This window comes from Homo sapiens, chromosome 13 (genome assembly GCF_000001405.40).
Source record: "Homo sapiens chromosome 13, GRCh38.p14 Primary Assembly".
Classification (NCBI taxonomy): Eukaryota; Metazoa; Chordata; class Mammalia; order Primates; family Hominidae; genus Homo; species Homo sapiens.
Window position 1 is genome coordinate 44,555,602 of NC_000013.11, and position 17,025 is coordinate 44,572,626.

The following is a 17,025-nucleotide window of genomic DNA, read 5'->3' on the forward strand; positions in this document are numbered from 1 at the left end:
TCTAAAAATAAATAAATAAATAAATAAATAAACAAATATGTACAGCCATCCTTGTCTTCAAGCACTTTGAGAACATTTTAGCCATTGATGTTTACATGTGGCACCCACCCATGCAAGATAGGTTTCTGTATTTATACATTAAAATACCAAAAAAAAAAAAGTATGAAATGCCTTCAAAAATGTTCAAAGCTTGAGAGAAAAGCTTTTTTCATTAGTCAAGGTGTTTTGATATGGTATTAAAATAATATCTAACAAAATGAAAAAAAATTCTCTTTTCTCCATGAATGCTGACACTGGGGAGAATGGCAATTTTAGGCTGTCAAGAGCATACTAAATAAGTAAAATATCTAGAAATGCAATCGACTTGCACGGGATGTGAAAATTACTGGCTTTCAGTCACTTTTGGCTATTTCATACTGGCAGAAAGTAAAAATTATGGAACACACAAGTAAGGCTTATATTACATTACTATTAAATGATAAATAAAGCTACTATATCTTTTAAGATACATCTTTACTATTGTTAACTATAATTCAAAAAAATTCCAATTGCTTCAATAGCTCCAACATTTATAAGTGAATCAGGAAATAAATAATGGAAACGAAAAAAACAGTTCTACTGTTAAAAAAAAAAAACAAACCACCACCACCACCATCTCTTGGGGCCGTGCACGGTGACTCAACACCTGTAATCCTTGTACTTTGGGAGGCCAAGGCAGATGGATCACAAGGTCAGGAGTTCAAGACCAGCCTGACCAACATGGTGAAACCCCGTCTCTTAAAAAAAATACAAAAATTAGCTGGGCGCAGTGGTGCACGCCTGTACTTCCAGCTACTAGGGAGGCTGATGCAGGAGAATCACTTGAACCCAGGAAGCGGAGGTTGCAGTGAACCGAGATCGTGCAAATGCACTCCAGTCTGGGTGAGAATGAGACGCCATCTCAAAAAAAAAAAAAAATCTGAATACTTTAAAAAATTTTTGTAGCCAGGTGCAGTGGCTCATGCCTGTAATCCCAGCATTTTGGGAGGCCAAGACGAGCAGATCACTTAGGGTCAGGAGTTCATGACCAGTCTAGCCAACATGGCAAAACCCCGTCTCTACTAAAAATACAAAAACTAGTTGGACGTGGTGACGCACACCTGTAATCCCAGCTACTCAGGAGGCTGAGGCAGGAGAATCCTTTAAACCCACAAGGCGGAGGTTGCAGTGAGCCGAGATCATGCCACCTCTGAAGACCTAATGCAGATGTCTAAGATTCAAGGCCGAGCATGGTGTCTCACACCTGTAATCCCAGCACTTTGGGAGGCCGAGGCGGGCGGATCACCTGAGGTCGGGAGTTCGAGACCAGCTTGACCAACATGGAGAAACCCCATCTGTACTAAAAATACAAAATTAGCCAGGCATGGTGGTGCATGCCTGTAATCCCAGCTACTTGGGAGGCTGAGGCAGGAGAATGGCTTGAACCCGGGAGTCAGAGGTTGTGGTGAGCCGAGATCGCACCATTGCACTCCAGCCTGGGCAACAAGGTAGAAACTCAGTCTCAAAGGAAAAAAAAAAAAATTACAAAAAAAGAAAAAGTGGCCGGGCGCAGTGGCACACACCTGTAATCCCAGCACTTTGGGAGGCCAAGGTGGGCGGATCACAAGGTCAAGAGATAGAGACCATCCTGGCCAATGTGGTAAAACCCTGTCTCTACTAAAAATACAAAAATTAGCTGGGCATGGTGGTGCACACCTGTAATCCCAGCTACTTGGGAGGCTGAGGCAGGAGAATTGCTTGAACCTGCGAGGTGGAGGTTGCGGTGAGCTGAGATCACGTCACTGCACTCCAGTCTGGCGACAGAGCGAGACTCCGTCTCAAAACAAAACAAAACAAAAAGTTAATTCTACCTTCTAGAATAAGCAAAAGGACAAGCTAAATCCTATTTTTCAAATGAATATTAAAGCATTCATATAAACTATCATTTTTTTTATACTTCCCCAAGTGAGTTCACAGGAAAATTATCACTTTCTTGTTCCAATAATAAATATGATGTGAAGATAAGTTGTAACCACTCAAAATTAAAAATCTGATTCATAAAATGTGCTATTATTCAACTGATTAAAATTAGGTTTCTACTTTAAAAGTATTTTAATAGAATTTTAATTTGATTGCATTAAGCTTATAAAAAATATCCTAAGTATCAACAGCTTATAGAATCTGAGACCACTAGAAGGCCAGTAATCTAATAATTTATTGAAATATTTATGTCATGAAACTGGGTGTCTCCATATTCACTTATTTTTCTGAAATTGCAATTTACTTCAGCAAATTTTCCAAATTTAAAGTTTACTTTTTAGCAATAAATTTGGAGAATTTAACCACTGGGGTAGAAACTATACTTTTTAAATGTACTAAGAGAAAATAATAATAAAGATTGAAGGAATTATTAGGTACACTCATTACTGGACAACTCCATAAAATAGTGACCGAAATAACCAGGAAAGTCTATAGTGTCAAATGCCTCTATACTCAATAGGCTAACGACTGCTTTTTATAGTTGTCAGCTGTCACCTTTTGTTCTTCTCAATGGACAAAAGAAACCTCCAGAATGTGGTTGAGTGCAAGTTTTGGAATGAAATCACCTAATGGAATACTGACTAGCTCCATCACTTAGTAGTTAATGTGACCAAGGTCCTTAACTTCACAATATTTTATTTGTAGTAACATATCAACCAATAATACAGTAAAAAAAATTTTTGAATCATTTCCCTGTCATATAATCCTCAGGTCTCCCATGAATTTATTATCAATCTTATACAAGCTTACAAAAAAGAGGAGCTAAACAGTTGCCAATTTAAATGTTATGTACCTTCAGGCTGGGCGTGGTGGCTCATGCCTGTAATCCCAGCACTTTGGGAGGCTGAGGCGGATGGACAGTCTGAGCTCAGAAGTTCAAGACCAGCCTGGCCAAGATGACGAAACCCCATCTCTACTAAAAATACAAAAATTAGCCGGGCATGGTGCCACATGCCTGTAATCCCAGCTACTTAGGAGGCTGAGGCAGAAGAATCACTTGAACCCAGGAGGCAGAGGCTGCAGTGAGCCGAGATTGTGCCACTGCACTCCAGCCTGGGTGACAGAGCAAGACTCCATCTCAAAAAAATAAAATAAAATAAACATTATGTACCTTCACCAAGTATTAAATATACTTGTTCCTAAAAGGATTAGGGTGTGATATCATGATCGTTATTATGGGATTCAGAGATGGAGGTAGGAAACCGCTAAGTTATCTAGGGTGAAATTCTCATTTCCATCTCCTCTTTCTGTACCACCCTTCCTGCCTGGAACCTCAAAATAGGTAAAATTCCTAATAATAAAACATAACCAATTGTACAAATGTATAAATCCTGCTATCCATTATTTCAGAGAATAACTGATGAATGTTTGGTGGATCTCCATAGAGGAAAATAACACATTGAAAATGAAGAACAGTTTAAAACTCTTATTCCAAATTCTACAGTAAAATGAACCATCAACCAAAGACAAGACTTGGCTCCATGTTTGACTCTCAAAGAAAAGTTTAGGTGAACTACAGCAATAAAAACCTTTTAAAAGAGGAAGAAAAGGAAAGACTCAGATATCTGAGCACCTAAGCAGTGGACAGTCTATAGCCCAAACCAGGGATTTTCTCAATTCACACATCTCACACCACACCTTGTACCCAAAGGAACAACCTTAACCAAAAATAAAGCAAAAAACATAACTTATAAAGCAGCATTTTTTCCTAAATTAAATTCACTAAGACAAATTTCACTAAGTACCACCTTTTTTAAAAAGTAATTTTTAAAACATGGGAGTGTATTTCCTCAACAGGAAGATGTACTGGTCATTGTCAAAAGTACCACAACAAATTTGTTTAGAGGACACAACCAAGAAAAAAAATTAACTTTTTTTTTCTTGAGACAGGGTCTCACTTGGTCACCCAGTCTAGAGTACAGTTGTGCCATCACAGCTCACTGCAGCCTCGAACTCCTGGGCCCAAGCAATTGTCCAGCCTCCCTAAATGCTGGGATTACTGGTGTAAGCCACTGTGCCCAGCCCAAAAATTTCTTTTTTTTTTTTTTTGAGACACAGTCTTGCTCTGCTGCCCAGGCTGGAGTACAGTGGCGTGATCTCAGCTCACTGCAACCTCTGCCTTCCAGGTCCAAACGATTCTCATACCTCAGCCTCCTCAAGAAGCTGGGACTGCAGGTGTGTGCCACCATGACTGCCTCATTTTTGTATTTTTAGTAGAGATGTGGTTTCACCATGTTGGCCAGGCTGGTCTTGAACTCCTGACCTCAAGTGATCCGCCCGCCTTGGCCTCCCAAAGTGCTGGGATTACAGGTGTGAGCCACCACACCCAGTCTCTAAAAATTAGTTTAATATTAGGCACAAACAAAAGCTTCCTTATGAAAGAAACCAAGTTGGCTTGGTTGTCAATTTCTAAAAAAGGAAATAAAAACATATACAATGAGAAAAGTCAGTTTTCCTTGATATAGTATTTGATTTACTGTGGTAATCAGGCCAGGCACAGTGGCTCACGCCTGTAATCCCAGCACTTTGAGAGGCTGAGGTGGGAAGATCACTTGAGCTCAGGAGTTTGAGCCCACCCTGGGCAACATGGTGAAACCTCGTCTCTTTTTAAAAAAATAAAAAGGTAATTAATAAAAATATTTCAAAGAGAAAAATTGGGGGGGGATCTTCATTATACCTAAACATCTAAATCATTAAATGTCTACAAAATACCTTATGCAGACTTAGTACCTAATATGTCATTCACTAATTTAACTAAAAATAAAAATTATCACTACCAATTACTTAAATCTTAGCACCTATTAGGAACTTTTAATTTTACTTCTGAATATTACTACAAATATTCTTCGTAATTTCTGTATGTAAAGGTCTAGCTTTTATTTTTGTAACATATTTAGAACATATGTTAAGAATGTCTTAGAGAATAACCTTGCTGCCCTAAAAGGTAAAAAAGTATGAAACAACTTGTCTTATTTTAGAACAGGAAAAAAGCAATATAGAGGAGTAAAAGGATTTGTCTATGCTTAAATGATACAGTGGAGGCAATACGACTAAAACATGGTTTATACTTGTCCATAGCTCAGTCATTAACATCATTTGGAATTTATTCTTACACCCATGATTCCTTAAAACAATATAACGAACATAATCTAACTTTCAACTAGCAAATATTCAATATCCTATCACAGTTCTTTGGGGTTTTCTTAAAATTTCTAACTCCTACCTTCATGTCAGGCTATAAATTGCTAACTTTCCTGACGTCAACTTACATGCCTCAGAATCCCATTTCTTTTCCCTCCCTAGTCTCATCTGCTTTAAGATAACAAAGCTAGTAAACATAAGGAGACTTAATGGAAGTCCAAAAAAGGATCAGAAATGCTATGCAAAAATACCCCCCGGGGCGTCGGGGGACCAGGGAGAGGAGGGGACATGGCTTTGATAGCAATTTCAAGCAGTTTTTGGGCTCCTTACATTCCACAGCTGGTTTAACCTCTGGATTAAGTGGAGTGTTACCATATGTGGACTGGGTCCTAACCTCCTTACTTTTCCTAATTAGGCCAAAGGGACTGATTCAAACCATTATCTCAGACAATGACAGAGAATATGCCTCCATTTCTACCACTGAGGAAAAAGGAATTATTGAGTTTCTCATACTCAATTAAGGAAGGAAGCAACTAGACATCCCAAGTAAAGCCAGTACCCTCCTAAAACATAGTACTGATCAGGCCACTGCATGGTACAAAAACAAAAAAGAGCCCTCCATTCCATGTCCAATCAAATCCAGACTTCTCAATCTTACATTTAAGGCTTTTCAAAGTTAGCCTTATGTATACAAAGCCCATCTGATACCAACTTGGACTATGTCTTATATTCTTTTCTATAAACATCGGTGTACTTTGAACCTCTTTGCTTAATGTTTTCTCTACTAAAATGACTTACTAAACCCAGTAGCTATCAAACTCCTCCTCAAGCATGTGATCTTAACTTCTCTGACTCCCAATACTCCTTTATTAGTACCTCTCCTAAACATAATTTTCTACCTTGTTATACTTTTCCCAAATGCGATTAGATTTCCATCCCAAGCCATTCCTTAAAATATTTAAAGCAGCTTACAAAGACAGAAATGTTTTGAAACAAAATAAATTTAAAATAGGTGAAAAAAAGTTGAAGTAAAGGACCAAAAATTACAGGAGTAATAGAAGGAATCTTTTGTCATTTTTCTTAAATACAAACACACGTTTATTCTTGAATTCAACTGCTGGCTCTCCTTAAGGAGAGAGAGCGAGCTATGCACATACTTATTAAATAAATTACATTCTTTCAGATACCTAAGAGATTTTATAATCATCTAAGGACAATTTCAAAATGACCTTTAAAAAATTATATATATATATTTTTGAGACAAGGTCTCACTCTGTCACTCAGGCTGGAGTGCAGTGGCGCCATCTCACCTCACTGCAACCTCCACCTCCCAGGCTCAATCGATCCTCCCACCTCAACCTCCCAGGGAGCTGGGACAACAGGCGTGCACGCCACCATGCCCAGCTAATTTCTGTATTTTTTTTGTAGAGATAGGGTACCATGTTGCCCAGACTGGTCTCAAACTCCTGGACTCCAGCAATCAACCTGCCTCAGCCTCCCAAACTGCTGGGACTACAGGCATGAGCCACCAAGTCCAGACCAAAAAATTATATTTCTTTATATATGTATCTACAAACATGTATATATCCTTATACTTTGAAAATGACAACGTGCAAAAGGGCACCAACAAAGAACCGAATAAACATTAGTATTGTGGCTCTTTAAATATCAGCAAAATAACCAAAATGCTCACATTTAGTATCAACAGTAGCATTAATGTTTTTCACATTTTAAATAATTTAAGATGTACACCACTTCCTTTTTGGTAGAGACCTAGGAGTCCCCAGTAGACAGGAAAAAAATAATTCCTCCTCTCTACTGCCTGGAAGAGACTGACAATGGAAATCTGTTTAGTATGAAAAGGAAGCTGGCAAACGTCTCTACAATCACTAATATAAGGAACCAATCCTAAAATATTCATATTAGTTCGCATTTACCTGGACTTCTTTTCACTACCAAACATATTTGGGACACATCTGCTTTGAATTTCAGATATGGATAAACTCTATAAAAACGCTAAATTGAGCCGGGAGCCGTGGCTCATGCCCGTAATCCCAACACTTTGGGGGCCCAGGTGGGTGGATCACCTGAGGTCAGGAGTTCGAGACCAGCCTGACCAACATGGTGAAACCCCAACTCTACTAAATACAAAAAATTAGCCGATCATGGTGGTGCATTCCTGTAATCCCAGCTACTTGGGAGGCTAAGGCAGGAGAATCGATGAACCCGCGAGGGGAAGGTTGCAATGAGCCAAGATTGCATCATTGCACTCCAGCCTGGGCAACGAGAACAAAACTCCATCTCAAAAAAAAAAAAAAATTAAATTGCCAAAAACCCTGTCTTAAGGTTATAACTGCTTATCCTTCAAACCTTTAAAACTGAGGCTGGGTCATGAATTTTTGGGGAAATTGGGTTTTGGGGTTGTTACCCCCTTTTTCAAAATGAGAAGAATTAACATATTGCTTTGAGAGAGAAGACAGGAAAGTGAATACAGTGCTTTGTCAAATTGTGGAATCTGCTCAGCAAAGAAACCCTGTACTGAACATTTTACAATGAAAATCCCTATCCCCATCATTTATTTCCTTCATTCATTAACAAATTATAGAAATGCATAACATCCAACATGGTTCTTCCTGCTTCCCACTTCAATCCAAACTACAGATTCCTTTTACACTAATCTTCCCTGAACACCATTTAGTCAACAAGTGTTGAGGGCCAATCATTAACTCCCCAATTCAACCTTCAGTCATTTCCTATCACTTAATCCAACTGTTGCCTTACTGCTGCCCAGGTGTTTTTCTTATTTCCCCCCATTTTTATTAATATTCTCCCACCTGACACATTTTCCTTCACCCTAAAACTTGTGAAAAGTCACTTCAAGTAACACTGCTTTTCTGACCTACCAAAGGTCAAATCTACACCATCTGTGAACTTTGCTTATGTCATTTTGAAAACCCAAGTTCCAGGTACAGTCTAAGAAACAATTTGTAAAACTGTCTCGGCGAATTCACTTAACCAAAACTTGTTCCTTCATAGGTTGAATGAGATCAAGATTTCCAACTCTTAAGTTTCTGATTATTTTATTTAATATTTCATGTTGCTTAAAACTATTACTTAGCCCTTATATTGCCAAATAACTGCCACATGCATACATATCTTCTTATAATATTATACACTCCTTGGGGACAAGAACCATATTTGATTATACCTAAGCATTGGTTTTTTTGGCTCACAAACACAGCAAAAAGTAAATCAGTTAATTCTCTCTTAAAGGAGAAAATAGTGTTATCACATGATCATAAAGAACTTTATCTTTCTGTTTTTAAAAATAGAAGTTCTCCTTGGTTTTTCTTATGACAATATTAATAGTATATTTTCTTGATTAAGCAGATTTCTTATGACAATATTAACAGTATATTTTCTTGATTAAGCAGATTTTATCTAATAGGCATTGAAATAGGCTTTGAATATATGCAGCACATCAAACATCCCCATTCCTATTCAAGAAGCTTAAAATCATCAGATAATCATGAAAACAAAATCTAATTACGAACTGTAATAAGCATTATAAAAGAAAAGAACAAGGTGCTATTAAACAGTTATTAACAAACAACCTAAGTTTAGATTGGTACGTCAGAGGCAGCCTCTCAAAAAGTGAGTTTAGCTTTAAAGTGGAATGAAAGTGAGATGGCATAGGGGATATTCAGGCTAAAATAACAGCATGTGCAAAGGCCTAGAAGAAGAATGGATGAAAACTGAAAAACTTTCTGAAAGGTCAAGTACAACTGGAATGAAGAAAGTTGGGAGAAAGAAGCATGATGAAGCCATCAGTAAGCAAAGACAGAAAGAAATTACCTTAAAATAAATGGAAAGGCTTAAAAGGGGTTCTGGCCAAGTAAGTTACCTGAACAGATTTCCATTTTAAGAATATGATTCTGACTGTAAGATACAATATTAGAAAAAGACAAGACATATGCAGGAGGCTCTGTGAGGAAGCTACTACATGCAGTGCATTAAATGAGAGCTGATGTTATGTTAGAGCAATGGCAATAAGGATGGAAAAAAAAGATGAAGATATATTTTAAAGTAATGATCAAGATGTAGAGAGCAAGGAAAAGAAACTATCAAGAATGACTCTCAGGTTTCTAAAGTGAAGAACTGCATTAAGAAATTATATTTATCAAAATAAAGACAACTAAAGAAGGAAATTTGAGGGGCTAGGTAATCAAGAGTTACATTTATGACCTGTTGAGACTGATAAGCCTATGAGAATGCAAGCGGAAATGTTATGAAAGCAGATGACTTTACCCGTCTAAGGCTAAGAAGAGAAGTCTGGACTAGTGATAGGCTTTCAGAAGCCAATAGCATACAAACTGTCTTTACAGCCATGGGAACCAATGATTACCTAGGGAAAAGGTAGTAAGTATAAAGAAGACTCAGAAAACCTAGGAAACAGAGTCTGACAGAAGAGAGAAACCTGAAAGACAGACTGAAAAGGAATGGCCAGAAGAGTGGGAAGAAAATGGAAGATTATCACAAAACGCAAAATAGAGTGTTTCAAGGAGGGCAAACAAAGGTCAACTAGGCCTAATCGTGCTGAAAGGTCAAGATTTCCTGGTCAAATTGACTGGTAAAGAAGAAATGGAGTGGTGGAGGGCAGCTTTTGAATATATGTGAGACTAGGAAAAAAGTTAACCTAGAATCTAAAAAGTTGTTATAATTTTTTAAAAATCAGTATAAAGATACTTTAAAATTTTTCAACCTTGTGTAGTTTCTCTTAATGAGCCAATAAAGCATGTTCTTACCATGACATTTTCAACCTTAACAAAAGTGAGACGGCAAAAACCAACCACCAAAGTTCTAATACTGCAGCATCAGAACAGGTCATGCTTAACAGCTTCATATTTTTAAATTAAACTTTCTCTTTTATCGAATTTTTTAAATCGAGATGGGGACTATGTTGCCTAGGTTGGTCTTGAACTCCTGAGCTCAAGTGATCCTCCTATCTTGGCCTCCCAAAGTGATGCGATTACAGGTGTGAAATTAAACTTTCTAAACAAGAAATAAAATTTACATGTTTTGTATTTCTGAAGCTAATGCTGCAAAAGCTGATCTAAATTATTAAAAAATTAAAATGGTTTTCCTAAAATTTCCACATAAGTTTCAAAAGAAAAAATAAATAAATAAAACATGTCCACCTTAACATTTAACATTTGAATGTCTAATGCATTCCAGGCACACCACTGTGATGACTTTACCCACTTTTTTCTCACCAAGGACTTGCAGGGAAATGTTATGTTCTATGGCAATTCCATCAGTTATACGAATACACAAAGCAATGAAGCCTGCCTATTTTTTAGGTTTTCAGACACTCTTAAAAATTCCTTATGGGCACTGGCCTTACCTCTTATTAGCTTTATAAGAAGTAAAAACGGCACTAGATTTCGAATTGGAAAAACAGCCTTGAATCCTAGCTCTGCTTTACTGCTATGTATGTAACCTTAGACAACTTGCCCTCTCTAAATACTCAGCAAGTTTCAGTTTATTCACCAATAAAATAGAAAAAAACTTAATTCACAAGATTACTGAGTGGTTAAATATGGTAGACATTAACTGAATCTAATACTAACATTTTTCATCACTTCTATGAACTGAAATTCTGAATTACATACTATTCTTATTTCTAACAAATATAAACTAAGTAATTCCACTCTTAAAATTTATGTATTCATTAGAGAACTAACTTGGAGCTATGACTTAATTAAAATTAGCATCATTCATTACATTTAATAGTACAGTATTCTACCATTGAAATAGATGTGTAATGATACTAAACACACACATCTATTTTTTCACTCCTTCCCTAAAACCCCACTAAAATGACAGAAAAGCAATTTGTTAAGATACAAAGACATAAGCCCACAAAAACTGAGGCAGATGAAAAGACAATAGCAAAAAAATTTGAAAGCTGGAAAGCAGACAGTTGAGTGACAAATGACTTAGCAAACACTAGAAAATCAAAGCTTTAGCAAACAATGGAGAATGCCAAAAACAAACCCAATTTAAACTGCAAAATCCCCAAAAGACTCAGGAATTGGCAGTACCACATCTATATAAGTGGGATGTGGGGGGAGAAGGTGCTAAAATTAAAAAGATTGTTTAGAAGTCAGTTTAAGAAGCAACCAGTCCTACAGATTCCCAACTGTCCCTCCCTAATCCCAAGAAAAAAAAAGGAATATTGTCTGAAGAAGGTAAAACATAGGATCACAGGACTAAGGAAATCAGGCACAGCAAAATGCAGAACATACTGAAAACAGGGTTGAGTGAAGAAACGTATCTGGGGATCCCCCAAAACCTTTCATTCCACATCCCCCTCACTGCCCACCCCACAGAATGCTTGTAGAAAGGCCTTCAATTCCAAGCAAGAAATCAGAAGAGCCTTCTTATAGGGATCTAACCAGCTAGGAGGATATACAAGAAGAAACCGACACTAGAAGTCCTCCAACCAAACACCACAGCCAGGTTACCATACAGGAAAGCTAACAATTGACAAGCCACGCTCAGAATTTCTAATTAGCATTTTAATTCCTTACTCTTACACATGACTACCAACTATCTGAGGAAAGGCTATAAGATGAAAGATAAAGACCAAAGCAAATAAAAAGTAAGAAAATAAAACCTAGAGGAAACACCACATAGAAAGAAAAAAAAAACTTTTTAAAAAAGCTAACATTTTATATATTCAGATAGCTAAGAAAAAATACTATCATTATTAAAATAGAATAGTATACTATTAAAAAGGAGCAAAAAAAAAGTTCTTGGAATTTAAATATGTGATAAGGGAAATGGAAACTCAATAGAGCAAAAAGAAAAACAGATGAAAAGTAGTTGAGAAAACACAAGAAAATTAGAAGACCAGTCAAGAAGGTCCGTTATCCAAATAAGAGGAGTTTAAGAGAGAAAAAATAGAAAGACATAATCAACAACCTGACTCAAGAAAAAGTCCCAGAATGAAAAGATGTTTCCAAACTGAAAGGGTTCACCAAGTACTCAGCACAGTGAATGAAAACAGACCCACACAAAAATCCATCATGGCAAAACTTCAGAACACTGGAAACATAAAATCTTATAAAGGTTTTAGAGGTTTTAAAAATGAGAGGAAGAAAAGGAAGAAGGAAAAGGAAGGGAAGGAAAAACAAAATACACAGGTCACATACAATATATAAGATATCAGAATGGCTTCAGATTTCTCAAAAGCAATATGGATGTTAGAAGGCAATGGCACAAAATATAAGAGAACATAACTTCCCCACCTGGTATTCTTTACCTAAGAAAGTGTCAGAGTAAACTAAAGCCATTTTAAAACAAGCAAACTAAGAATAAAGACACTAGTCTCTGGAAAATAAAGATCCAACACAAGACAAAGTGAAAGGAATCCCAGAATAATAGTTGTGTACCAAGCCAAGAAGGCAACCAGTCAAGAATGGAGGTCAGTGGGATATAACACTTCCTGAGAAAGATAAAATTGTTAACAATATCTGATATTGGAACATCCTAAGAGGCATCTGATGAAAAGTGGATTTAGTGATAAATATAGAGAAAACTAGGCAAAGAGGTAAAAAAAGACAATGAACTCCAGCCAGATTACTCTGCGGTAAAGTTAACAGTCAACAAGCCACACGGAAAAAGAATTTTTAAAAATAATTATATATATATAGTAGAGACAGGATCTTGCTATATTGCCCAAATTAATCTCAAACTCCTGGCCTCAAGCAATCCTCTCACCTTGGCCTCCCAAAGTGCTGGAATTATAGGCGTGAGCCACCATGGCCAGCCCCACACTGCAAATCTCTAATCAGCTCTTTAATCCTTTAACACTTATTTGCAAGCAGACAATCAAGACTTACCAGACATCTAAGGAAAGGTTCTACAGGAAAGGTAGAGCCCAAAACATACAAAAATGGGAAGAGGGTGGGGAAAGGAGGGGCAACTTGGAGAAAACAGACAGCGCTGACAGATGAAAACCTGGGAGTGGAGGAAAACCCATTTCTATAATAGACAGGTGGGGATGGAGCAGGGAAGCAGCCACAAAACACTGTACAGGATAGGAAAAGTAATATTTGACAAGAATACTGAATAATCAATATTGATAACTACTGGGAGGAAGGGTACTGGGAAAAAAGGAGACCAGGTAGGTATATGGTAACAACAAAATTAAATCTTCATTTTCTATCCAGGAAGTTAATACAGACAAAAAGAAATGAAAGGTGTATTTTATTTAACAAATACCTACATAGGGCATGTGAGTTAGACAAAGTTCTAGGGAATTTCCAAATTCATTTAATTCTTATATCAACCCAATGAGGTAACTACTATTGTCATCATTTTTTTAATGAGAAGATTGAACCATAAAGAGGATAAATAGCCCGATGTTACATAAAACTAGTAAATGACAAGAAAGATCAAATCTAGGCAATCTAACTCCACAGTCCATGCTCCTAACGAGCAGGCTATATTACATATCTAGTGGTAAGACAAGCAAGTTATTTAGAGACTGGGAGGTAAATACCACAATAATCATCTAAAAGAGGTGAAAGTGATTGTTTCTAGGAAAGGAAAACTGGAAAGTAAGGGTGCAGGAAGCTCTTCCATTTATTTCTTGGAAAACCATTTAAACTATCTTTAAACTGTGCATGTACATCTTGAAAAAAAAACTTTAAAAATTATAATTTCGTATTTTAGTTAACAAAGTATTTTAACTGATACTACTGCTATCCTGAGAAGCAGGCAAAATGAGTATTACTCCTATTTTATAGGTAACACACATGCGTCTTAAATATTTGAGGACCTACTATAAAACAGGCAATGTACTTTGCAGACATACATCAATTCACCTAAAAATGTTGATGAGAGATACAAAAAAGCAAGTCTTTTTATTCAGTTCTTTTCCATTTGTTGCATAAATTATATGATCCTGCATCTCTCACAATTGTGCTTAAGATGAGGGACAATATAAACTTTAAATCATGACAAAAAAAAAATCAGGAGAAATGCCTGCTAATTAATTCAAAAAAATAATTCATCCCTGCCCTTGAGGAACATCTAGTCTTGTGGGAAAGATTGGTAAACATAATTATAATTGAATGTGTACAGTGCTTAAATAGAGGAATATTAAAAAGTGCTAAGGAAACAATGTCCCCTGAGTGAAAAGAATGCTTTAAAGAGAACATCTGAGCTGAGTCTTGAAGGATGAATAGAAGTTTGACCCATTTCACGTTAAGAGGCTGTGCTAATAACAATCACAAAACATAAAAGATGCAATACCTGTATTTTCCCATTCTTGTAAAGGTGAATTCACAGTTCATGTTACAGTCTAAGACATTAAGACTTTTTTTTTTTTTTTTTTTAGAGACAGGGTCCTGGTCTGCCACCCAGGCTGGAGTGCAGTGGCATGATCCCAGCTCACTGCAGCCTTGACCTCCAGGGCTCAGGGGATCCTACCACCTCAGCCTTCCAGGTAGCTGGAACTACAGGCATGCGCCACCATGCCTGGCTAATTTTTGTATTTTTTTGTAGAGACAGGGTTTTGCCATGTTGCCCAGGCTGGTCTCAAATTTCTGGGCTCAAGCAATCTGCCCACCTCAGCCTCCCAAAGTGCTGGGATTACAGGTGTGAGCCACCGCACACGGCCTGACATTAAGACCTTTTAAATAAGAATGATTTTTTTTAAAACAAGATACATAATCTTAGCATCCTGATCCATGTTTATAGTCTCTCCCAGTGATCAACTGAAGGCACTTTCCACATGTCTAAACATTTTATAATCTAAAGTGTTAAGAGTATTATTTCAAAAGATGATTAAAAGATAACCATCCTCATCTGTCCTACTGCCCAAATTATATTGTTAACACATTTCCTGATTCATAATATTGAAATTATATATGTATTCCCTCTCTCCTGAGACTAATGGTGACCAAGCCCAGAAGATGCAAGTGACAACAGAAGCTACCATGGGAAGAAAGGTTTTAAAAGTTTGTTTTTTAATCATATCACTGTTTTCTCTTGTAGTTATTCTTAAATTATCTTCCAAGGGCAAATTTAAATGAAAATTAACTTTTTTCCAAACTGTAGTGATAAATAATCTTCAGTAAAACACAATAAAGAATATAATATATATCTTTTCTGATCTTACAAGGTGTTTTAGGGCTACATTCCGATTTCACAGAATTTAAGATACCGCTAAAACAAAAATTTTCTGGTTTTTAATCACGAAACTTTGATGTTAACTAACCAAGGCCCAAATAGGTAGTAAATTCAAAACAGTCCCTGCTCTTGAGGAACTCCTGGTCTTGTGGGAGAGACTGCTAAACATAATTATAATTGAATGTGTACAGTGTCTGAAGACAACTTGTATTAGAGCTATATTTCCTTATTTCTCAGTATGTCTTTTTGTCCCTTTCTAGAATTCCATAATTTCCACCTTATTATTCCTTTTCTCAATTATTATCTGGAAAAATTAATTTTATATTAATATCTTAAACTGGGACCCTATTCCTATAGTTAAAACTCTAGTTGAAAGTAGCATCATCTGACTTTAATTGCCTGGAAGGGCAAGCTGTGGAAAATCCTATCATGTCCTACCAATAGGAGGAAAAAGAGGTGAAAGTCAAGCCAGGAGACCACAAATGGCAATTACAAAATCATGGCAAGTTTGAATTCAAAATGAGTGTTTTTGTTTGTGTATTTTACCCGTCTTTTGTTTCTCTAAACTTAGCATCCACATAATATAGCTGTTTTTATAGAGGCTTCACTCAAATCATAACCTTTTGACTTAAAAAACATTAATATTTGTGGTAATTCTTTTAAAATTAGTTGAGTATTAGCATGATAAAATTAAAGGTTTAACAATAATAATGGAACAATTAAGGAAACTACCTCCTAAAAGTTTATCTTTTAGAGTACAGTTTTGTACAAATAATACAGAATACATTTGGTTAGGTAACAAGGTTTTAATTACCTGACTATTAGAAAAATAATAAAAATCTTGAAAGATAAGATTTTATCAATTTAACCATGTCTTTATCTTACCTTTTAAACAACTAAATAACACAAACCTCACTGAAACATTTGACCTGTTTTCTTTTTCTAAAATTACAACTATTTTGCAATATGCTCAATTTTTCCAAAGCAAAACCCACAAACATACATATAGAATATAAATGCTTAAATTCGCTTGATGAAAGTTCAATCACAAAACCCTCCAACTAATACTAAAATAATTAAATATCTTGCACGCTTACTCCAAATTCCACCGTGAAAATGATGTCTTTTCATAACTCCTATAATAGCATTTTAATCAAGGTTAGTAACAGACTGGAAAATTTGTGAAAAGAACATTACTTTAAAAATCAACATGAAAGATTTCACAACTTTTTTAGCCAGTCAGCTTCAAAGACACAATTTGATTCAATAAGCGTTACTGGCATATTATTTCCAATCTACGTGAAAAAACGCTTGGTTTAATAATGTACTTTAGGCTTTCTGTATCTTTTTGGTAAGGAAAGAAAGGAACAGGTGGAGTAGATTAGCCAGAGACCAAGGTCTTATTTTCACGCCTCTATAAATTCAATCCTCCAAGACTTACTTTCTCTGTTCTTTAAAATGGCTACCACCTTGATCTACCATGCAAAAGAAAAAATGTTCAGCATACTATCAAGATAAGTCTGGTTATTTTGATAGTTTATGTCCTCCTTTCCCACAAAATAAGATTCCCATTCCTTTACTGTTCAGATAAAATGACCATTAAATAAGTACGCAAAAGTTGGT

The 17,025-nt window shown here is 36.3% G+C and overlaps 1 protein-coding gene across 10 annotated transcripts in view; it reads right to left on the reverse strand.

The window, feature by feature from the left end:
* The window catches only part of TSC22D1 (TSC22 domain family member 1), a 145,202-nt gene that overhangs the window by 123,459 nt on the left and 4,718 nt on the right, over positions 1-17,025 (reverse strand). The window lies entirely within an intron of this gene.